Source organism: Homo sapiens, chromosome 17 (assembly GCF_000001405.40).
Source record: "Homo sapiens chromosome 17, GRCh38.p14 Primary Assembly".
NCBI lineage: Eukaryota > Metazoa > Chordata > Mammalia > Primates > Hominidae > Homo > Homo sapiens.
This window is the reverse complement of record NC_000017.11, coordinates 72,826,147-72,850,134: the sequence shown is the minus strand read 5'-3', so window position 1 is coordinate 72,850,134 and position 23,988 is coordinate 72,826,147. Positions and strand designations below refer to the sequence as shown.

The 23,988-nt window shown below is 44.2% G+C and overlaps 1 protein-coding gene across 35 annotated transcripts in view; it reads left to right on the top strand.

Moving 5' to 3' along the window:
- The window catches only part of SLC39A11 (solute carrier family 39 member 11), a 446,740-nt gene that overhangs the window by 242,554 nt on the left and 180,198 nt on the right, over positions 1–23,988 (top strand). For 30 of the 35 annotated variants that reach the window (NM_139177.4, NM_001159770.2, XM_017024330.2 and 27 more), the window contains one exon: positions 331–501. The exons of the other annotated variants lie outside the window; for them this stretch is intronic. In NM_139177.4, the coding sequence (NP_631916.2) occupies positions 331–501 (171 nt within the window). The remainder of the gene's footprint in view (positions 1–330; positions 502–23,988) is intronic. 35 annotated transcript variants of the gene reach the window in all.

Here is a 23,988-nt window from a genome sequence, read left to right as displayed (position 1 = left end):
GCCTGAGTGAATGAGAGAACACACAGAAGCATGCATAGTCTACAGGAAGTTTGGAATGGGCAATTGTGACGTGGGTCCTTTTTGGAGAGGAGTGAAGATGGCAGTCCCAGCTACTTGGGAGGCTGAGATGGGAGGATGGCTTGAGCCCGGGAAGTTGGGGCTGCAGTGAGTTGTGATCACACCATTGCCCTCCAGGCTGGGTGACAGAGTAAGACCCTGTCTCAAAAAAGAAAAAGAAGCTTCTTCCTGCTGTAGCTTGCTGGAGAGTTAACGTGCACATGTTCAAAGCGCTGTCTTTCCCCATCTCTCTTTTTTTTTTTTTTTGCTCAGACAAGAGTGAGAATGGTGAGGCATATCAGAGAAAGAAGGCGGCAGCCACTGGCCTTCCAGAGGGTCCTGCTGTCCCTGTGCCTTCTCGAGGGAATCTGGCACAGCCCGGCGGCAGCAGCTGGAGGAGGATCGCACTGCTCATCTTGGCCATCACTATACACAACGTTCCAGGTGAGGTCTTGCCCGTGAGCGTGACAGCCACTGCCTGAAGGTAAAGTCATTTGTCAGCACAGTTGTCTGGCTGGAAAAGGGGAAGGGGCAATTGTGACGTGGGTCCTTTTTGGAGAGGAGTGAAGGTGGCAGTACAAATCTTTCTTGGCTTTATTTTTTGATCGTCATAGATAGATCATCATATGTGAAAACTTCCCATTCCGGTTAGTTTAAACAACTTCTACTTCCTTTTTGTTTACATATTTGTTACCAAGTTATTTGGAGCATAAATTCATAACTGTTACATGATTGCTGTGGAGGGTATCTTTTATAAATACTGGGTATCTCTGGTTCTGCTTAATGCTATTTGAAAACATAGTTGACCCTTGAACAACACAGATCTGAACTACGTGAGTTCACTTACACTCAGATTTTCTTCCGCCTCTGCCCCCTGAGAGAGCAAGACCAACCCCTCCTCTTCCTCAGCTGACTCAATGTGAAGAGGATGAGGATGAGACCTTTATGATGACTCACTTCCACTTAATGAATAGTAAATATATGTTATCTTATGAATTCCTTAATAACATTTTTTCTTGAGATTGCTATATTGTAAGAATACAGTTTATAATACATATAACATACACTATATGTACTAATTGACTATGTTATTGGTAAGACTTCTGGTCAACAGCAGGTTATTCATAGTTAAGTTTTGGGGAAGCCAAAAACTCTCTGCAGATTTTCTACTGCGCAGGGAACCAGCATTCCTAACGTCTGCATTGTTCGAGGGTCAAGTCTATTGAGTTCAGTATAATTTGGCACTGATAATTGCCTTACCTGCCTTCTTTATGTGGGCATCTTTCTGAAATGTTCTTACCAATCCTTTCCTATTTAGCATTTTAGAGTAATTTCTTTTATGTCTTTTTTTTTTTTTAAGACAGAGTCTTGCTCTGTCCCCCAGGCTGGAGTGCAGTGGAGCGATCTTGGCTTACTGCAGCCTCTGCCTCCTGGGTTCAAGTGATTCTCCTGCCACAGCCTCTTGAGTAGCTGGGATTACAGGTGTGCACCACCATGCCTTGCTAATTTTTTGTATTTTTAGTAGAGATGGGGTTTCACCATGTTGGCCAGGCTGGTCTTGAACTCCTGACCTCAGGTCATCCACCTGCCTCGGCCCCTCAAAGTGTTGGGACTACAGGCGTGAGCTACCACGCTGGCCTGTTTTATGTCTTTAGATGTATTTTAATTGGAAAAAAGGACATATTAATGCCTTATTTCAAAAACAATGAATGTTTCTTTTAGAGCAACTAGAAAACATGATTAAGCATAGGAAATGATAAAGATATTTTTAAAAATAAATAAACTGAGGGAACCTGAGCAATTTGGGATGCATTTTGAAATTCCAACTCTCTCACTTCCTAAGGAGGTTATCTTGACGAATTGCTTGAACTCCCTGAACCTTGGTTTTCTCATCTAAGAAATGGGGATAATGCCACAAGTGGCTTACTTAGAGAATTAAATGAGATGCTAAATATACATACAGCTTTCAGTACAGTGCTTGGGACTTACGAGCGCATTGTTGGCATCGATGATACTCCTGCTGCCTTTTCAGCCATGATTTCCTCGATCTTGAGATCTTAAACATGCTGACCCACCTTTTGTTGTTTGGGAATTCGAGTTTGAGCAATAATCTTCCCCAGGGAGCATCCTTGGGTGATACATTTTCTGAGTCCTTGCAGAGTTCATGGTGCCAATCTGTTACTCTAATACAGGAGCAAGAACTTGGCTGGGCAAAGCTTTCTAGTCATGACATTTTTCTCTACAAAGCTTCTGCAGATGTTGATCCCTTGTCTTCTGGCTTTAGTATTGTGGAAGCAAAAAGCATGGCCAAAGTGAGTCTGTTCCTCTGTATAACTTGATATTGTTTTGCTTGCACAATGAAGACTTTTTTTTGTCGTCTTTAAAGTGTGAAAATTCTAATACATATTATATATTCTAGTATATATTAAATCTGCCGAAAGCACTATGTGTTTAATTACTTTTTAAGCTCAGATATTTCTCTAGATAAGAAGCACATTCCTCTGTTATTTCTATCCTAATCTTAGGAATGTCTATCATACGATCATAGGTAGGCCAGTTTTCCCAACATTTTCATCAGTTTATGTGTCTCCCTCATTCCCCTCTTGACCCTTTTCTTTGAGTTATGAATAAGCTTTTTTTAGTTGGTTTTCCAATTTTTTTTTTTTTTTTTTTTATGAGACAGAGTCTCGCTCTGTCGCCCAGGCTGGAGTGCAGTGGTGCAGTCTCAGCTCACTTCAATCTCCACTTCCCGGTTCAAGCAATTCTCCTGTCTCGGCCTCCCGAGTAGCTGGGATTAAAGATGTGTGCCATCATGCCCAGCTAATTTTTGTATTTTTCGAAGAGACGGGGTTTCACCATGTTGGCCAGGCTGGTCTTAAACTCCCGGCCTCAAGTGATTAGCCCACCTCAGCCTCTCAAAGTGCTGGGATTACGGGCATGAGCCACAGCATCTGACCCTGTTGGTTTTCTAGATCTTGGTATTCAGTATGTCTTGAGATAAAGATGGGGTCTTATATGGACCTCACTGCACAAAGATGGCCAAAGTGGGTTAGCCTTGGTGGAAGACCCTGCTCGTGCCCACCCCGTATCTTAAAGAGGTCATTGAAAGACCCCTTGGTCCCCTGCAGAGGACTACTTAGGAGCCCTGACAGCAACTTGTAGCCTGTTAAGTGCTAATAGTTAGAGAAGAGAGGTTACTTGTTTTTCATTCATAATAGTAGCTGTCTTTCTGCCATTTATGACCCCTTCTTTAGCCAATTGAGGAAGAGTAAAGATCTGCCCAGTGGGTTTAGTGTTAAATAAGGTAACTACACTGAGGTGTATTACGGCAACTATTTCTCTGAAGAACAAAAATGTGGTCTAAGGTCCAGACTTTATAGCAATGGAATGAGTATCCAACTTTCCTCTAATGGACCCTTTTATATACCACACCTGCCACTGTACTTGGGTGATTCATTATGCTCAGCTGGAATTATTTCCTGGCTCATCCCAATGGAAGGCCAGGATGGTTCAGAGTTTACTTTCTCAAATGTTTGTTGACTCCAGTGACAACTTGGAATAAAGCCAGAAACAGGAGGAAGATGTGTGGAATGACAGCAATATTTGATGATCTTAAATGAGCATAAATTAAAATCTTACTTCTTCCCTGACAGGAGACCCTATTCTGTGTCTTTGGAGTTTCCAAGTCTAAGTTCAGCCTTTGTCACTTCTATGGTGATGCAAAAGTATTTTTTCAAATAAGGATTGAGGCCAGGTGCAGTGGCTCATGCCTGTAATCCCAGCACTTTGGGAAGCCAAGGTGGGCGGATCACTTGAGGTCAGGAGTTTGAGACCAGCCTGGCCAACATGGCGAAACCCCGTCTCTACTAAAAATACAAAAATTAGCTGGGAGTGGTGGCACATGCCTGTAATCCCAGCTACTTGGGAGGCTGAGGCAGGAGAATCACTTGAACCCAGGAGGCAGAGGTTGCAGTGAGCCAAGATCATGCTACTGCACTGCAGCCTGGGCGACAAAGCAAGGCTCTGTCTCAAAAAAAAAAAAAAAAAAAAAAAAAAAAAGAGAGAGAGAGAGAGAGATTCATTGGTTTGAAAGATGGATTCTCTTATCTCCACACTCCATCCTGGGTGACACAGCGAGACTCCGTCTCAAAAATAATAGTAAAATAAAAAATAAATTGAAATGAGGATTGAGTGCCTTCCAGGAATCTCAATTGAGTTAGATTTCACCAGAAGCATGGTGGTAATAGTCACTGGTTTCAGTAAACTGGAGGACAGCTGGCTTGACTGGATGGAGAGGTTTGAAGGGACATTTCTTTCCCAGTCTTGTCTTTTATTTATTATATTTGAGTATTGTATTCCATGTACTTGGGTTATATCAGTACTAAAACAGACCAAGATCTCTGGCCTTCTATAACCAATATTATAGCAAGGTGAGATAGTCGATGAACATCATCATAATAAATGAATTTTATATTGTGTTAGAAGGTGGTTAGTGATTTAAAAAAAGAAAAAGTTCAACAGGGCAGAGGAGACGGTAGAGTGTTAGAGGAAGAAATTGCCATTTTAAATAGAGTAGGTAGGGAGGGGCTCCTTGAGATGTCCTTGAATTTGAGTCAGTCATGCAGATCTCTGGGAAACAGTGAGTGTTTTAGGCAGAGGGAACAGCCAGTGCAAAGGCCCTGAGGCAGGAGCATGTCTGGCCCCCACAAGGAGTAGCCAAGAGTCCACTGTGGCCACAGCAGGGTGAGCAGCAGGGAGAGAAGTACAAGGTGAGGGCAGGGATGTCAGCCCCTCCTTTAGATGGAACTTGGAGGCATAAGAATGTTTGTTTTTGCTCTGTGTGTGATGAGCCATTGCAGAGTTTTGAAGAGGGTGTGTATGACTTGACTTGAGCTTTGAAAGTTTGTTTCTCTTTAGATACTGAATTGAGATGGGACTTAGGAGAGGTAAGGATGGAAGCAGGGAGGCCTATGTAGAGGCCACTGCAGAATCCAGATCAAAGATGATAGTGGTGCAGACCAAGGTGGTCGTGCTGGATGTGGTGAGAAGGGATCCCTTCCTGGGTCCCGATTGAAGGTGGAGCCAATGGGATTTGCCGATGGATTGGATGTGGGATATGAGAGAAAGCGAGGAGCCAGGAGGGACCCGGAGGTTTCAGGGCTGCCCAGCTGCAGGGATGGAATTGCCATCAACTGAGACGAGGAAGGCTGCAGCTCCAGGGGCTTTAGGGGGACTATCAGGAATTTGTTTTTTGATTGTGAGGTTTGATTGCCATTAGACATTCAAATGGAGATACTGACTAGACAGCTGGATACATGAGTTTGGAGTTGGCTTGCAAAGTCTAGCTAGAGTTATAGATTTCTGAATCATTGGCCCATGAATGTTTTTTGTTTTTTTGTTTTTTGTTTTTGAGACAGAGTCTGCCCTGATGCCCAGGCTGGAGTGCAGTGGCGCAATTTTGGCTCACTGCAACCTCCACCTCCTGGGTTCAAGAGGTTCTCCTGCCTCGGCCTCTCAAGTGGTTGGGACTACAGGCGCATGCCACGACACCTGGCTACTTTTTGTATTTTTGGTTGAGGCAAGATTTTGCCATATTGGTCAGGCTGGTCTTGAACTCCTGGACTCAACTGATCCACCTGCCTTGGCCTCCCAAAGTGCTGGGATTACAGGCGTGAGCCACTGCGCCTGGTCCCTTGGCACATGAATGTTACTTAAACCCCTGACACTGGATGAAGCCACCAAGGGTCTAACTACAAATAGATGTGTCTCCAAAGACCCACTGTGGCTCATTCCTCAAGTCTTCAGCTCCTAATCCTGTCTAAAGAGAAGTGAACTCCCTCACCATCACTGTCAAGCAGCTTCATGTCTTTGATGAGGACCATTTTAAGAGCCTGTTTGGAGCCAACTTACCTTTGAAAAGGTCTCTTCTTTAACACTATCCTTTATAGTGTATTAAAAATTTAACTAGAGCTTTGACATTCCCTGAGACTCTGGGTTTTTAAGACAGACTTTTCACAATGACTAAATGGAGAATCGATTTTTTTTTTTGAAGTTTTTTGTCTTTGCTATTTCAGTTTAGTATGTCCTGAGGATGACATTTTGCTAAAAAAAATTTTTTTTTGGAGTAGAAGGAAAATGGAAGGCTTGTTAATAGTAGCCTATCTCCCGGAGGTATCCAGAGTGTGAGGCCACACCCGAAGGCATATGCACACGTCTGGGGCTCTTGGGTTAATATTTAATACACATGTGCAAGGTCAAATAGTTCTTAAGCTTCTGTGGTTCACAGTTGTCCTGTGAATCTGATAAGAGCTATACACCATCTCACAAGAGGATGTTGTACACATGTCTTAGTCTGTTCAGGCTGCCATTACAAAATGCCATACAATGGGTAGCTTAGAAACAACAGAAATTTATTTCTCGCAGTTCTGGAAGCTGGAAGCCTGAGATCGGGCTGCCAGCATGGTCGTGGTCAGGTTCTGGTGAGGGTCCTTCTCCGGGTTGCAGGTGACTGTCTTCTCGTTGTATCCTCACATGGTGGAAAGAGGGCACTCTCTGGAGTCTCATTTCATGAGGTTGTTAATCCCATTCATAAGAGCTCCATCTCACGACCTAATCACTTCCCCAAGTCCCCACCTCCTAATACCATTCATTCCCTAAGTCCCCACCATCCTAATAACAATACCATTGGGGATTAGGTTTCCAAATATGAATTCTGGGGAGACATAAACCTTGAGACCACAGCCACACACAATATTTTGCAGACAATTCTGGGTGTTTAGACTTTATGGAGTCTATCCACAACCCTAGAACAGGAAAGAACCCCTCCCCAGGCCGGGCGCGGTGGCTCACGGCCTGTAATCCCAGCACTTCGGGAGGCTGAGGCAGGCAGATCACGAGGTCAGGAGATAGAAACCATCCTGGCCAACATGATGACACCCCGTCTCTACTAAAAATATAAAAATTAGCTGGGCGTGGTGGCACGTGCCTGTAATCCCAGCTACTTGGGAGGCTGAGGCAGGAGGATCACTTGAACCCAGGAGGCAGAGGTTGCAGTGAGCCGAGATCGCACCATGGCACTCCAGCCTGGAGGCAGAGCAAGACTCCATCTCAGAAAAAAACAAATAAGCAAAAAACCCTCCCCTTTAGAGGACAAAGAAAAGTATAGTTGTGCAATTGAAATGTCTTAGGAAGAAATGGTAATGACTGATGCAGACCAGCAGATGCAGGCAGGCGCAGTAAAAAGAGCACTAAAAGGCAGACTCCAGAAACAGAGTGCAGACACCACCCGCCTCCTTCTAAGCTACTTCCGTGGCGCCTGCCTGGGTGCATCTGTGGGGGTGGTCTAGGGTGTTTGTGTCTGCTGCAGAAGGACACCCTGAGGAAACAACATGGTTTTTTAGAAAACCAACCCGAGACTGCAGCCTTTTGAGCATACTGTCTCTTGAAGTGCTGTCCATGCAGTATCATACAGATTGAAGGGCTCTGAGCCTTCCAAAGATTCCTGGCCCTTCTGTTTTTGAATGGCATTAAAAATCACCTAGCAATTGAGTTCCTACTAATCACTTATCATGAGTACCTTATGGTCTCAACAGTGAACTGCACCATTGCTTTGTATGGGAGAAAGTTAAATTGGAAGCTTAAAGAGATTCTAGGGGTTATCTCATTCAAACATTCATTCATTTGAAAATTTAGGGGATTGTGGTAAATTATTGTTATGGCTCCTTCTAGCCTTAGCATTGGATGATAACTGTGAAGAATCATAGAAATATTTATTATTAATTTCATTTATTTAACAAAGTTAATCACTCCTTCCTTTGTGCTGTCTTGCTGTATCCTTTATCTTCTGTTACCATAATTATCACTCTGACTTACAATTACCTGTTTGTGTGTTTTATTTATTTATTTATTTTTAATTTTTGTCAGTAACATAGGTATGTATATTTATGGGGCCATGAAATACATATGCGCGTGCGTGCACACACACACACACACACACACATAGTTTTTTGAGACAAGATCTCTCTCTGTCACTCAGGCTGGAGTGCAGTGGTGTGATCATGGCTCACTGCGGCCTCAACCTTGGGCTCAGTTGATCCTCCCACCTCAGCCTCCTGAGTAGCTGGGACTACAGGTGCATACCACCACACCCAGCTAATTTCTTTTTTTTTTTGTATTTTTTGTAGAGACAGGGTTTTGCCATGTTGCCTAGGCTAGTCTCGAACTCCTGGGCTCAATAGATTCTCCCGCCTTAGCCTCCCAAAGTGCTAGGATTACAGGTGTGAGCCACCTCGCCTGGCCTGCATGAAATATTTTGATACAGGTATGTAATGCATAACCCATCAACTTAAGCATTTATCCTCTGTGTTACCAACAATCCAGTTATACTTGTAGTTATTTTAAAATGTACAATTATTATATTATTGACTATAGCCACCCTGTTGTGCTGTCAACTACTAGGTCTGACTCATCTATTTTTTTTTGTACCTATTAACCATCACTACTTTCCCCCGACTCCCCGACTGCCCTTCCCAGCCTCTGGTAAACATCCTTCTCCTCTCTATCTCCATGAGTTCAATTGTTTTAATTTTTAGCTCCCACAAATAAGTGAGAACATGAGAAGTTTGTCTTTCCATGCCTGGCTTAGTTCACTTCACATAATAACCTCCAGTTCCATCCATGTTGTTGCAAATGACCGGATCTCATTCATTTATGTGGCTGAATAATACGCCATTGTGTGTATGTACCATATTTTCTTTATTCATTCAACTCTTGATGGATGCAATTACCTGTATTTAAACATGTTTATTTGCCCCTGATAGATGGAGCTTCTTGCAAGAAGTTCTATACTGCGTTCTTTTTGGGGGGCCCAATGTTATAACACATACTGAAGCTTTGATGTATTCAATATGTATTATATACTTGAGCACCTAGAAGAACTGGTGCATTGGGTACCTGCCCTCCATTCTAAGAGAGGAGGGGCTGTTTGAGAGTTAGGTGTCCTAATTTTTTATTTTTTATTTTTTGAGACGGAGTCTTGCTCTGTCACTCAGGCTGGAGTGCAGTGGCGCCATCTCAGCTCACTGCAAGCTCCGTCTCCCAGGTTCACACCATTCTCCTGCCTCAGCCTCGCCAGTAGCTGGGACTACAGGCGCCCCCCACCACGCCTGGCTAATTTTTTGTATTTTTAGTAGAGACGGGGTTTCACCGTGTTAGCCAGGATGGTCCTGATCTCCTGACCTTGTGATCTGCCTGCCTCGGCCTCCCAGAGTGCTAGGATTACGGGCATGAGCCACTGCACCCAGCCAATTTTCTTTCTTTTTGAGATGGAGTCTCGCTCTTGTCACCCAGGGTAGAGTGCAGTGGCGCGATCTCAGCTCACTGCAACCTCCGCCTCCTAGGTTCAAGCTTCTCCTGCCTCAGCCTCCTGAGTAGCTGGGATTACAGGCACCCACCACCACGCCCATCTAATTTTTGTACTTTTAGTAGAGGCGGGGTTTTGCCATGTTGGCCAGGCTGGTCTCAAACTCCTGACCTCAGGTGATCCGCCCACCTTGGCTTCCCAGAGTGCTGGGATTACAGGTGTGAGCCACCACTCCCAGCCGCCTAATTTTCTTTCTACATTGTCCAGGTGGGCCAAGGGAGGACATTGACTCATGTGGGTCCTGATGATACATTGGCAGACTCTTGCTGCCTTTTGTGTTTGAAATTATTTTAAAGGTCCAGAGAAGAGGGTAGGTGAATTCCATGCTTTTTATTTTCCTCTCAATAGTATCAAGAGCCAAGTTTGTTTTGCTGGTTGTTGCTATGACATAGAGGCCTGGGGACCACTGTTTGTGTTGCTAGAACCACACAACAGTTGGTTTTGGTCATGTGGCCTGTCCTCATTGCCAGCTCCTGATAATGGCTTTCAAAGAAATGCTTGGGATTTTAATCCAAAGTGATTTTTTGTTTCAGGGAACAGGAACCCAAATTTAGACATGAAAATGTTCACAGTGGTTGGTTATTCCTGGGTGATAGGATTGCAGATGACTTTTATTTTCTTCCTGTTTTTGTGAGATTTATAACTAAGCTTTCCTGTAGTAAATATTTATGACTTGCGATCAGATAAAAATGCTTTTTTGGAAAGGTGAAATTCTTGCCTTTTTTAAGCTTGCCACATTAAACGTTAATGTCTGCAGCACCACGTTGGCGTGGTTCTCACTCCAGCTGCATCAGACTCAGTTCATCAAGGAGTTACCATCACCTAACCACTTCAACACCTCAACCCTCAACTTATGCACAGAAGTAGAGAGATGTTATTCCTTTATGCTAGAGATCATCTTACTGGGGATGTTTTAATATTTAGACAAGTTAGAAGCAGAATGAAGGACTGCCTTGGTTTTCTTTGGCTGGTGTAACCAATTATCACAAACTTAGTGGCTTAAAACAATCCAGATTTATTCTCCTGCAGTTCTGGAGGCCAGAAGTCTGACATCAGTTTCACTGTGATAAAGTCAAGGGGTTGGAAGGGCCGTGTTCTTGCCGGGGGCTCTAGGGGATAATCCATTCCTGGCCTCTTCCAGCTTCTGCAGGCTGCAGGCATTCCTTGGCTTGTGGCCACATCACTCCAATCAGTACCTCCAGGATCACTGCTTTCTCTTCTGTGCCAAATCTCCCTCTGCCTTTTTATAAAGATTCTTGTGGTTGCATTGAGGGACCACCCAGATTATCCAGGATAATCATATCTGAAAAATCTCCTTTGTCATGAAAGGTAACATTCACAGGTTTCAGGAATGAGGACCTGGATATATTTGGAGCCATCATTTGGCCAACCACAGAGACCAAAGGTATCTTCTGAATGCAGGCCAGAGATTCTTAGCTTGAGTTCTGAAATGTCTTCAGCAGCCAGCATTCCTTTATAAGTCTAAGCCTGGCTCTTATGGAGTCTTAGTCTCACCCTGGGACTCCCATGGGCTATCAGCTGTGTCATCCTTATTTCCCATCACTGGCTTTCTGTGTTTGAGCCTCTAAAGAATTCCTAAGTCTTAATGAGCCCATTCAGCAACTTACTCCCCTGGTCCTTCATCAAGTGAGAGTTTTGGGGTGTTAGTAAAAGACGACGTAATATTTACTTAGCTTATACATGTGCAGTGGGGATGGCAGGGAATGGGGGAGAGTGCTGCCATCCATATCTCATGGGCCCTTTTCCCCTGCCTGCCTCCACTGCTATCATAACTCCATGTTATCCCTCAGTTCTTCGTGATGAGCCAATTCACAGTGACAGACGTTTGTGGCTTGTGATTATAGCTGACATTCTTTTTCTCAAGGTCAGTGGCATATTTAAATGGTTACTGACCCTACTCCATCTCACACATGATCTGTCGCTCAATCTCTCTCTTTCTCAAGCAACTTTATTGTGTGGCATTTTCTCATCCCCACGCTCACTGGTAGTTAGGAGGTCTGTCAATTACACTTCCACACTGAGGAAAGAGTCCCTGTTAACTTTTTTAAAAGAATGTGATATGATTCACATACCATAAAATTCACCCTTTTAAAGTTCACAATTCAAGGCCAGGCACAGTGGCTCATGCCTGTAATCCCAGCATTTTGGGAGACTGAGGTGGGTGGATCGCTTGAGCCCAGAAGTTGGAGACCATCCTGGGCAACATGACGAGACCCCCATCTCTACGAAAAATTAAAAAACTAGCCAGGTGTGGTGGTGCACGCTTGTGGTCCCAGCTACTTGGAAGGCTAGGGTGGGAGGATTGCTTGAACCCTGGAGGTCAAGGCTGCAGTGAGCCGTGGTTGTGCCACTGCACTCCAGCCAAGGTGACAGAGCAAGACCTTGTCTCAAAAAAAAAAAAAAAGAAAAGGAAAGAAAAATAAATTTCACAATTCAGTGGTTTTAGTATATCTGAAAGGTTGTGCAACCACCATCACTATCTTTTTAATTTTTAATTTTAATTTTTTTCTTCCAGTAGAGACAAGGGTGTTGCTGTGTTGGCCAGGGTGGCCTCGAACTGCTGGCCTCAAGAGAACCTCCTGCTTCAGCCTCCCATAGTGCTGAGATTATAGGTGTAAGCCACTGTACCCAACCTACCACTATTCCTGAATACTCTCATCACCCTGTAAAGAAACCCCACACTCTTTGAGCAGTACCTCTGAGGAAAAAAAGAAACTGCATGCTTATTAGCAGTCACTCCCCATTCCTCCCTCCCTCCAGCCCCTGCACTAATCTACTTTGTCTCTACAGTTTCCCTAACCGGGACTGACTTTCATTTAAACGGTATCATGTAATATGTATGTTTTTGTGTCTGGTTTCTTTCACTTGGCATGATGCTTCCAAGTTTCGTTGATGTTGTAGCATGTATCAGTAAGTCTTTCTTTTTCTGGCCAGATAATACTCTATTCTATGGATACACCGTGTTTTGTTTACTGTTTCATCACTTGATGGACATTTGGATTGTTTTTACTTTTTTGGGTGTTGTAAGTAATGCTGCTATGTGTGTTTATGTCTTTGTATGGACCTGTGTTCTCTTGGGTACATACCTTGGAGTAGAATTGCTGGGTCATATGGAAACCTTTGAACTCTTTGAAGCCAGTTCTTTTTGTTAAGTTCCTTCCCATTCATTCCATCCAGCAGAGTCCTTTGACACAAAGGGATAATCTCTGTCCCACCTACCATGGCACTTGCTTGGGGTGTCTATGAGTCCTGCTTTTTTTTTTTTTTTTTTTTTTGAGCAATATACATTTTTATAGTACATTTTTAAAAAATCTAGTGAATTTTCCTCCAAGTCAATAGACAGGAGAAAAATAAAGTTGTTTTTTGAGCCCTGCTTTCCAACGAGGTGGCAGTTGCTGTGGATTTTGATTTTGTGTGGAATATGGAGGATCTGTTGGAATGCTGAAAAGTCTGCGGACAGCTGCAGGTGGCCAGGGAGGCTGCTGCTGCTGACATTGGTGATGTGAGCCTGGACCTTCAGCTTGCCCTTGTGCAGTCTCCCCGTGCTGCAAAGGGTGGCTTTGGAGGGGCAGCAGTGCGAGACCAGGGCCCCGACTTGCAAGAAAGGAGCTACTAGCCATGAGAAAGAACATGTTGATTTTTCATTTTCCTGGGGTAAAGACTGAGCAGAAAATTCTACTGTTAGGTACAGACCTTTCCAGGAGAAACCGTGATGCAACAGCTTCTGCTTCACATTGCTCTGCTTCCAGAAACTGGAGGGGCCTTCTCAGTAGCCGGCGACTCAGGCTCAGTTAATGAGGAAGCAGAACACCACACAAAGGCATGCATCATTGACCATAATAAAATATACCAATAATGCTAAAGGCTGCCACTTACGGGGGCCTTTCAAGGTTCCAGACGCTGTATAAAGTGCACCACATACATGATTTAGATATTTGCGTCCCTGTTTTACATTTTAGAAACTGAGACCTAGAAAGTTTAAAGATCAAGCCCAAGACCAGGCACGGTGGCTCACACCTGTAATTTCAGCACTTTAGGAGGCCGAAGCAGGTGAATCGCTTGAACCTGGGAGTTCAAGACCAGCCTGGGCAACGTGGGGAAACCCCATCTCTACAAAAAATACAAAAATTAGTGGGGTATGGTGGCGCGTGATTGCAGTCACAGCTACTCGGGAGGCTGAGGCAGGAGAATCGCTTGAGCCTGGGATGTGGAGGCTGCAGAAAACTGAGATCGTGCCGCTGCACTCCAGCCTGGGTAACAGAGCGAGACCCTGTCTCAAAAAAAAAAAAGCCCGAGGCCACACAAGCAATGATGGGTACAGCTTAACTCACACTCTGTCTCCGTGTGTTGTGTCTCACTGGTGAGCTCTGTGTTTCTTTTCTTCCCGTGGATCACACTGTTTTTCAGAGAGAGTTACAGAGAAGTTCAGGAAATGCTTCTTGCTTTTCTTAAGCTTGCCACATTAAATGTTAATGTCTGCAGCACCACGTTGGCGTAGTTCTCACTCCAGATGCATCGGGCTCAGTTCAGCAAGGAGACTTGGGCAGGGAAACCTGGGCAGGAAGCCTCACCGTACACAGGGCCCACCACTGTGGGTGCTCTAGGAGATGTGTAAAATGAATGCCTGTGAGGCCCCTGCACACCTATCACCACCACTGATGCTCCAGGACCCAAGCAGGTGGTCGCCCACAGGCATAGGACAAGCACAACCTTTAGAGCAGAAAGGCCAAGACTTGGATCCTGGAGCCACCAAATGCTTTACTAGGTAGGTAACCTTAGGTGAGATCATGAGAGTCTTAGCTTTCCCAGCTGTAAAATGCAGATAATAGCTACTTGGCAGTTCATTATTGAGACGACAGCAGTAGCAACAAGCAGGGCCACCCACTGTGTTATCTGCTATTCAGAGTGTATCGTTGGGAGGCCGAGGCATGCAGATCACTTGAACTCAGGAGTTCAAGACCAGCCTGGGCAACGTGGCAGAACCCCGTCTCTACAAAAAATACAAAAATTAGCTGGGCGTGGTGGCACATGCCTATAGTCCCAACTACTCAGGAGGCTGAGGCAGGAGAATCACTTGAGCCCAGGAGGTAGAGGCTGCAGTGAGCCGTGCTTGTGCCACTGCACTCCAGCCTGGGTGACAGAGCAAGACCTGTCTCAATAAAAAAATAAAGAGTATTGTGGTTCCTAGAACACAGCAGGACCTGGAAAACATTAATTCCCCTCCACCTCCTCCTCTTCCCCCAAACTCTACCACCCACCTACTTTTGCCTTCAACTTGCTTTGATCCTCAAAAATTGTCTGGTTCTGGTTGTGGAGGTCTTAAATGGGGACGTCACAGATGGCTTTAATTTTCATCTCCAACAGGTTACATTTGAAGATGCTTCTCATTTACTGCAGGAGTTTGAAAACATTGTAATATTCTCCTTTAATTATCAGTATCTCAGTGGGAAGCCTGACATTATAATTAGCACAGGCTCCTACATGGGATGACATTTTGCTCAACATATCATGTTCCTGGTGTGCACTGAGGCAGAAGCCGGTAGCACACTTCTAAATGACGCTGTTGGATTTGAGCATGAGAGTTGGCACCAACGCCCAGAGGGCAAAATCACAACTCTGGGAATCCTCCGTGATCCCAAATAAAAGTGGCAGGGAAACTTTTAGACATTCTGTCATCTCCTGCACAGGCGACAGACGCGCAGATGCCTGAGCCCTACTTTCTGGCCTTCAGATCAAGGAAGCTACAGCCAGAGTGAAAGTCTAATGCTGCGCTAGGATTGGGGTTAAAATCAAGACTCATTTCCACGTCGATTGTATTATGCCATCCTCCTACCTATTATGTAAATTAAAGAGAAAACTAAAGCAAGAGAATTTGAATACATTTTTGTATTAGGAAGCAAAGTTTCCAATAACTTCCAGTTGTCTTTCTCCCATGGCCAGGTATTGGCTAGAACATGGTTTAATACAATCTTTTATTTTATTTTATTTTATTTTATTTTATTGTTTTGTTTATGGAGTTGGAGTCTCACTCTGTGGCCCAGGCTGGAGTGCAGTGGCGCAATCTCAGCTCACTGCAACCTCCGCCTCCCAGGTTCAACCTATTCTCCTGCCTTAGCTTCCTCAATAGCTGGAATTACAGGCGTGTGTCACCATGCGCAGGTAATTTTTGTATTTTAGGTAGAGATGGGGTTTCACCATATTGGCCAGGCTGGTCTCAAACTCATGACCTCAGGTGATCCACCCGCCTCAGCTTCCCAAAGTGCTGGGATTATAGGCGTGAGCCACCGTGCCCAGCCTAGTAAGATCTTTTAGACTTGCTGTGTCCAATTCCATAGTCCCTGGCCACCTGTAGTTCTCTAAATTTACATGAGTTAAACTGGAATAAAATGCAAACTTTAGCTCCTTAGCATGACTTAGCCACACATCAAATACTTGTATCTAGTGGCTACTGTGTTGGACAACACAAGATGTAGAACGCTTCCATGATCACAGGAAGTTCTACTGGATGACACTGCACTAGACCCTTAGCAAAAAAAAGTAACTTCACAAATTGTTTGTTGTGTAGTGCCTACCCAAGCTTGCCTTGGGAGGAGTTCCATTTCTGGAAGACAGTGTAAGAGAGCTGTTCTCAGTCATGGGGTATGTCCTACATATATTGTGAATAAAATAATTTAAATGTCAGCCTTTTCACATTGTTTCTGATAAATTCAGGATGCTGCAGAGTCATCCTGTGATACCATTCTCTTGCTCCTGTTGGTTCTGAGTTTTTTTCTTATTTCCTGAGTTGGGGACTGAAGTGGGTTGCGAGTTGTGCCGGGACTTGTGTAGCAGGCTCGAGAGCATCATGATGTCTGATGTCGGGGGATGGAAGGAGCTGCACAAGGGCTGAAATAGTAGCTCATCATCTTGTCCTCTGGTGTTATGTGTTATCTGCCAGTAGACAACCTCTCCTCACCCCAGCCCAAGCCAACATCATTGGTCTATGTCAGCTTAGCCCCTCTCACAGAACAGCCTCCTGTGACTTAACTCAGGTTTGAAAGAAAGGATGTTAACCGTCAGATGAAAATCACTGGAGTCTTTATTGTCAGCTTTCTGCTAGAGCCATTGTCCTGTTCATCCCCCAATGCCTCTAGATAAAACTTTTAGAATACACTGCCTGGAAAAGCTTTGCCTCCCTGTGGGAATGACAGACATTGATCGTGTAGACCTTTTTTTATTCTTTGGCTGCTAGGAAGCACAGCACTTCATTTGCTGCTTTGTGATAAGGATAAAGTGCATTCTTAAGGTCTGAATATCTGAATATCTGAATTCTTCTTCCATGTTATAACCTATTGTTGTACTGCACTTTAATCCATTTCAAAAGAGGACGGTTATTAATAATCGCTACAAGTGATTTCATTCCTGTGTTGCCAGTTTTCTTCATTTTGTTTCCTGGCCACAGACTATATTTCTAAACCAGATGCAGTGCCTGAAAAGTATTTTTATTTGATTATAATGGAGACTGGAGACCAGGCAAGAGGGAATAAAGTAATCTATTTGTAGCTTGACAATGGTCTTGATTAAGGTCTTGATTGACAAGGGCTTGATTTATTTTTGCTTCACTGTAAAGAAAATTGTAGCTTTTCTAAGATTTTTGTTTCTTGAAATACCTGGCTACTTTGCAAGCAGGATGGACCACCAAGGAGCCATCTCATCTGCTGATGAGTCTCCCTCCTCTGTTGAGGTGGCCCCATTTTTCCCAAAGCCCCAGCAAATAACAGGTTTAATTAATTGATCACGTTTCAGTTGCATACCTTATAATGGTCCCAGCTTACTCATATTCATATATGCGAATTTTAGTGCACATTAATTATGTATTTAATAAGTCCCTGTTTGTTTTGTCTCCATTCCCTTGATAGCTGTTATGGTGTGGAGTTGAAAATAATTAAAATGTTTCTAGTTTTCTGCAAATAACCATTAACCAAGGTTGGATTCTGAAATCAAAATTCCATTTTCTTTTTCTTTCTCTGGTTAAATACAGTGGGTGAAATGACACCTAAATGTACTTCTAGGTCTATTCCTTGCTCTGTTGTTTGTCCCACTTTTCAGTGTGGTAATTGCCAGCTGAGTTCTCCATTTGGCATAGATGTGTCATGACTTGACTTAAACAAAATGTATTACTTTTGGCTGTCATCTTCTCCTTGACACGGAGATAAATTCAGAGGCGATGAGCTCAGCATGGCGGTTTGGGAGAGGATAGAAAAAAATAGGTTGTTCTCCACAGAATATTCGAGGGGGTAGAAGTCTGCAAAATCAGTATGTGTGTGAAGCCCCTAGGGGGCTCGTGACGAATCCAAGCTCCCAATAACACCTAGACTTCCAAGCCATTTCAGACCACCATTTCTTCAGTGGTTCAGCTCTTTGGAGAATAGACAAGTGTATGGCTGCATGTTTTGGGTATTACCTGCCCTAAGGGACAGCACCACATCCTCATTCACGGCTCATCCTAATTGTTGCTTTGTCTACTAATGCAGTAGTTAGTAGCCACAGGGATTATACGCTCGATCCCATTTCATTTTGTCTTATATCTTGTACCAAGGTTTGTCATATGCCAACATCTTGCAGTTTACTAGAGCATGGTAACTTCCCCTATTCTCCAACCTCCTTCTCCTCCTCTTCTTCCTACTACTACTATTACTACTTATTTTTCATAGTTCTATCGGCGTCTTTAAGAATGGCAATTAATCTTTGCAGCCCATCTGCGTAACTTAAGCTCTACTCTCAGCCATGGAGACTGTTGCTTCCACAGCTTCAGCAACACAGAGATGGTAAATGGAAATCAAATGAGGGCTCAAAAATGAATTCGGATGCTTCTTCTTAATAATTCTCTTTAAGAGAGAATGAACAAGGAGAAGAATCTCAAACTGATCTGTTTTGTTGATGGGCTACTGAAAAAATTTAATTAGAAATGAACTCAAAGCTCATGGATGAAATAAAGTTGGGAAATTGCATTTTTACGATAGCAATTTAGACCATCCACATTTTCCAGAATCAATGGTAAGTAAGCATTGGGAGTCAGAATCTATAATTCCTGTCTTATTTTGAAAATCACCAAGTAGGTGATTGTAAGAATGACTTCTCCAAGTTGTGATATCACTGGCTTCACCAGGAGATAAATAATTCCAGCTCCACCCTCTGCTTCACAGGTGATTTGAGGATAAAATAAGGTCATGGACACGAGCCTGCTTGAGAAATAAAGGTACCAGATAAATAGCAGTTATCCTGACTATTGGATGCAGCAGTTATGAGCACTGTTTGTCAGCTCCTTCCACTTCCAAATTCCATTTCCTTTCTGCTGCAGAGCCTTGTACTCATCAGCTCTCTTCTCTCCCTCTTATTAAAGTTCAGAGCTGTCATTCCCAGAGAGTTTGTTCATTTATTTCTCTTCTCTATATTCTCAGAAATTCTTTCTGTCTCAGAGATGTTAGGGAAGAGGTTGGGGCATGCTGATGGGAGAAAAAAAAAAATCTCTGAATCCTGTTTGCAGGTGCAAACAGTCTTCTTAAATGTCAACATAGCAATACAGGCATTTTCCCTCATTCTCTTTTAATCAAACACTTTCCTCCAGGCTCCTCATTTTTCTACAAAAATCACTAAGTCTCAGTGACGTTCTAGATTTCCTTCTCTGTGCCCTGTTCTCAAGGGTCAGCCTCCTCTTCACACTAGAGCCATGTTGGGCTTTCCTGTTGGGAGTGGGGATGTGGGAGAAGTCACCTGATAGACTGAGTCAGTGCCCCCATGGAGCCGACAGGGGAATAAGCCAATGGGTTGAGTGTGGAGAGGTGGAATTTCAGGCACTAAGGAACTCAGAGGAGTGCCAGGGTATGCATGGGGTTTGATGAAGATATTTGGGGCCACGTACCTTCCCATGGGCTCCTTGGGCTCTACCTTGCGAGGGACCAATTGCTCTGCCCTGATTTGTTTAGTCCTAAAAGACTCAGGATAAGCACTGGGTTTTGCCTCCTGGTAGTTCCAAAGTGTGCCCTGTTGCTTAGAGACAGGGGATGGTGCCTGGAGTGAAGATAAGGTTGTAAAGGAAACCAAGCCACAAATTCCCTTGTTTTTGTTCAGGTTGCTGGACAGAAGAGTAAAGGATTTTTGCTCTGACAGTTGGAAGAAAGTGTTTTCTTTTCTGTGTGTGTTTTTACCAAGTTGATGTGTTATCCAAGACACAGCCGAGTTAGTACCCACGTTGACAAACAGTGTTGAGTTTTGCATGGCTACCTTCCTCTTAATTCTGGTGTTCCTGATTTAGGAAAAAAAAAAATACACAGTCATCTTCAAGGGATTCTTTGTTGAAGCTTCAAATGATCACATCTGCTCTATGCTAGCGTATCAGTGGACAGAAGAATTGGAGGGGGCGATATCCAGGAATGGTACTTGAAATGCTCCTTCCCAGTGGGGAGTTTAAATTTTTCATTTATCAGTGGTAGCAATTTTAGCTCCTGATGCTGGAAGCCTGCTGGGAGCTTGAGGAATCACATGTGTATGCATGTGTGCATGTCTGCATTTCCTCATGGCCTCATACCTTCTGTGAGTCTGTCTCCTCTCCTCTCTCCTTCCTTCCTGCATATTCATCATGAGTAGCATCACAGGTTTTCTGAAGCCCTCTGACCTGTTTCTCTTCCCCATTCCCTGACTCTGCACCGATCCCCTCCTCCCCTAGGTCAACTTCCTGAACACACTCAGTTCTGTTCCTTTACTGAGTCCGGGGGCATTTCAGCTGAGTGGGGGGCTCAAAACACACCTTTGAGGGGAACAAGGTGGCTACACTAGTGACGTGGAGAAAACTGCATCAGGAGCAGACAGGAGGGGACATTAACTGGGTAGGGGTGTGAGTGCCATGGGGGCCCATGAGGATGGGGACACCAGGGTGGTTTATACAGTAGAAGAGACAAGGGATTTTAACAGATGGAAAGGGGGAAGAGAGGAGGGACCCGGATCTGTCCGGAATCCCAGACATGTACTTTGGTTGGCCCTTTGAGCATGTCTGCCCTAATTCGGCATGTTTGTTTTCTTCTCAGCATCCTCCCTTTCCCTCTGCCTCTAAGTTAAAGTCCTGAACTTCTGCCCAGCTGCCCTTGAGCTGGAAGGCCCATAGTTGTCTTAGCTCTTCCCTGTCCCTCATTCTCCATAGCTAGTTGGTCACCAAATCCCACTGATCACCGGCTCCCATCTCCCCCACCTCTAGTTCCCATCTCCCTTTTCCAGCCCCACTGCTTTGTGAGGGGGCCTTTTTTTTTTTTTGAGACAGAGGCTCGCTCTGTCTCCCAGCTGGACTGCAGTGAGGCAATCATGGCTCACTGCAACCTCCACCTCCTGGGCCCAAGTGATCCTCCTGCTGCCTCAGCTTCCTGAGTAGCTGGGACCACAGGTGTGCCCAGCAAACCATTTCATTCATTTGTTGTGTGGAGACAGGGTTTTGCCATGTTGCCCAGGCTGGTGTCAAACTCTTGTGCTCAAGTGATCCTCCCACCTCGGCCTCTCAAAGTGCTGGGATTACAGGTGTGAGCCGCCGCACCTGGCTGAGGCCCATTTTTTTTGTTGCTTCGTTTTCTCCTCATCCATCTGCTCTGCACTGTGTTACCAAACCTAACTTTTGAAAATAGAAATGTGCTTTCACGCCAGTCTTCATCTTACGTGAGAAAGAAAAATATAAATGTCTTTAATCTCCCCACACACAACCCCCAGTCACTACTCTCCGATGCTTGACTCCTGTGAGTTTCATCAAATCTGTGGGTGCAGAGCCCACCAGGGTGGGAGCCTTTGGAGGAGACAGTGGAGCGGTGTCAGAGAGCAGTGACAGCACAGGTCCTGCTCCAGCAGCACCTGGACCAGGGTGGGGCCATATGGTGTCCTGGAAACGTGGCACACAACCTCCACCTTGCAGCGTGTCCACCTCCCCGGGGGCACCCATGGCCCACAGGTGCGAAAACCCCCCAGACTCAGGCTGCGGAGACTCCTCTCAAACAGGAACTCAGCTCACCAGGCTGGAATAGTCTTTTAGGGTCCTTAGTTAAGCACACAGGCTCTGGGGTCTATTGATCTAAGTTCAAATCCCAGTGGCCCCTCCACTTAATAGCTGTGTGCTTGAGACAAATACCCCTCTCTGTGCCTCCATTTCACTCCTACTGTGGCCATGCTTTCTGGAAGCTCTAGGAGAGAATCAATTTCTTCGCCTTTTCCGACTTCCCATGGCTGCCTGCCTTTCCTGGCTCATGGTCCCCTTTTCCCCTGCAATGCCCAGTTGAATCTTTCTTGCATTGCATTACTCTATTGCTAACTCTCCTACCTTCCTTTTCATTTTAAGGACCCTTATGATTACAGTGGGATCCTCCAGATAATCCAGGATAACTCCTCTCAGGGTCAGCTGGTTAGCCACCTTAGTGCCTTCTGCAGCCCCAGTTTTCCCTGCCATGCCACACGGCATATTCAGATTCTCGAGATTAGGACATAGACATTTTAGGAGGTCATTAATTTCCTACCATAGCATGTATTATTTTATTTTGGCACAGTTGTGGCCAGAGGACCACTATCAGAGACCTGAGTGGATGGGACCACTTTAGCAGCTAGCAGAAATCCATGTATCACTGCCCAGTGTGTCTTCCTTGCCCACGTGAAGCCTCAAAGCAGCATTGCCGTGGATCTGCCTGATTGGGAAAGAAACTGTATTTCCCTCTTGCTTTATTACAGTTCTCTCTTCTATGGACTTGGGCACCTGTCCCACAGTAACCTGGCCAGGGGTCTGTCTGCGAGTGCCTGTGCTACAGTGTATTCAGTCTTTCCTCATCATCATGGAAGATAGTCTTATGCTAACTTCCCCAGTCTCCATGGGAACCTCCTCTTCAGTGCATTTAAAGACAGTTATTCCTTCCCTGGTTGAGGGATCTGTATCCAAGGGTGAGAATGAGATGGCTGAAGGCAATAGCATTTTTCCTTCATATCAAACTCATGTTTTCCATGCACCCCTGTTGGTCCCTTCCCAAAGCCTTCCTGGTGTCTCCCCACCTGGGGTAGAGGAGTGGGCCACTTAGATGGAGAATAGGCTCACATATTCTTTTCTTTTTTCTTTTAATAACAGCTTTATCAAAATGTAACTCACACAGCCTACAATTCACCCATTTGAAGTGTACAGTTTAATGATTTTTAGAATATTCACAAAATTGTGCAACCACCACTATAAATTTTAGAACATTTTCATTACCCCAGAAGAAACCCCTACCCATTAGCAATTATCCTCCATTTCCCTCCAGCTCCTCCCCCACAAACCCTAGGCAACCACTCATCTACTTTTGTCTCTATGAATTTGGCTATTCTGAACATTTCATATAAATGAAATCATATAGTATGTGGCCTGTTGTATCTGACTGCTTTTAATTAGCACAGTGTTTTTAAAATTCATCCATGTATCAGTATTTCATTTCCTTTTGTTGTCAAATAATATTCCATTATATGTCTATACCACATTTTGTTCATCCATTCATCAGTTAATAAGCATTTGGGTTATATCTACTGTTGGACTATTATGAATAGTGCTGCTCTGTACTTTCATGTACAAGTTTTTGTATAACGGCATTTTCATTTCTCTTGGGTCTAAACTTAGTAGTGGAATTGCTGGGTCATTTGGTAACTCCATATTTGCCCTTTTGAGGAAAATGTAAGACTGTTTTCCAAAGTGATGCACCATTTTTCATTCCTATCAGCAATATAGGAGGGTTCCGTTTCTCTACATCTTCACCAACACTTGTTATTATCTGCTTTTTTTTATTATAGCCATCCTAGTGGTTGTAAGTGGTAGTTCTTTGTGGTTTTGATTTGCATTTCCCTGATGACTAATAGCAGTGAGCATTCTTCACGTGTTTATCATACCTTGTTGTAAGTTAAGTGTCCACAATAGTAGTTCTTACTTTGGGGGTTACGATCGCCATGTATATCCAATCAAGCTTAAGGAATCTTTCTCTAACTTCCTGTGATATGCATAATTATGATATATTATATAAAATGTCAGGAAGTTTATAAACAGCCTGGATCTACAGACTCCTGATTTTAACCCTTTTCTAAAGGGTCTCTCCCTTGTTCTGAAAGAAAGTATAGTTCCAATTAGCTTAGAAAAAATCAGGTTTTAATAAGCCCTTCCCTAAAGGAAATCCAGCTGTATTAGTCCATTCTCACATTGCTGTAAAGAACTACCTGAGACCGGGTAATTTATAAGGAAAAGAGGTTTAATTGGCTCACAGTTCCACAGGCTGTACAGGAATCATGGCTGAGGAAGCCTCAGAAAACTTAAAATCATGGTGGAAGGTGAAGAGGAAGGAGGCACATCTTACATGGCCAGAGAAAGAGGAAGAGAGTGAAGGGGGAGGTGCTACACACTTTTAAACAACCAGGTCTCATGAGAACATATTCACTATCATGATAACAGCAAGGGGGAAGTCCACCCTCGTGATCCA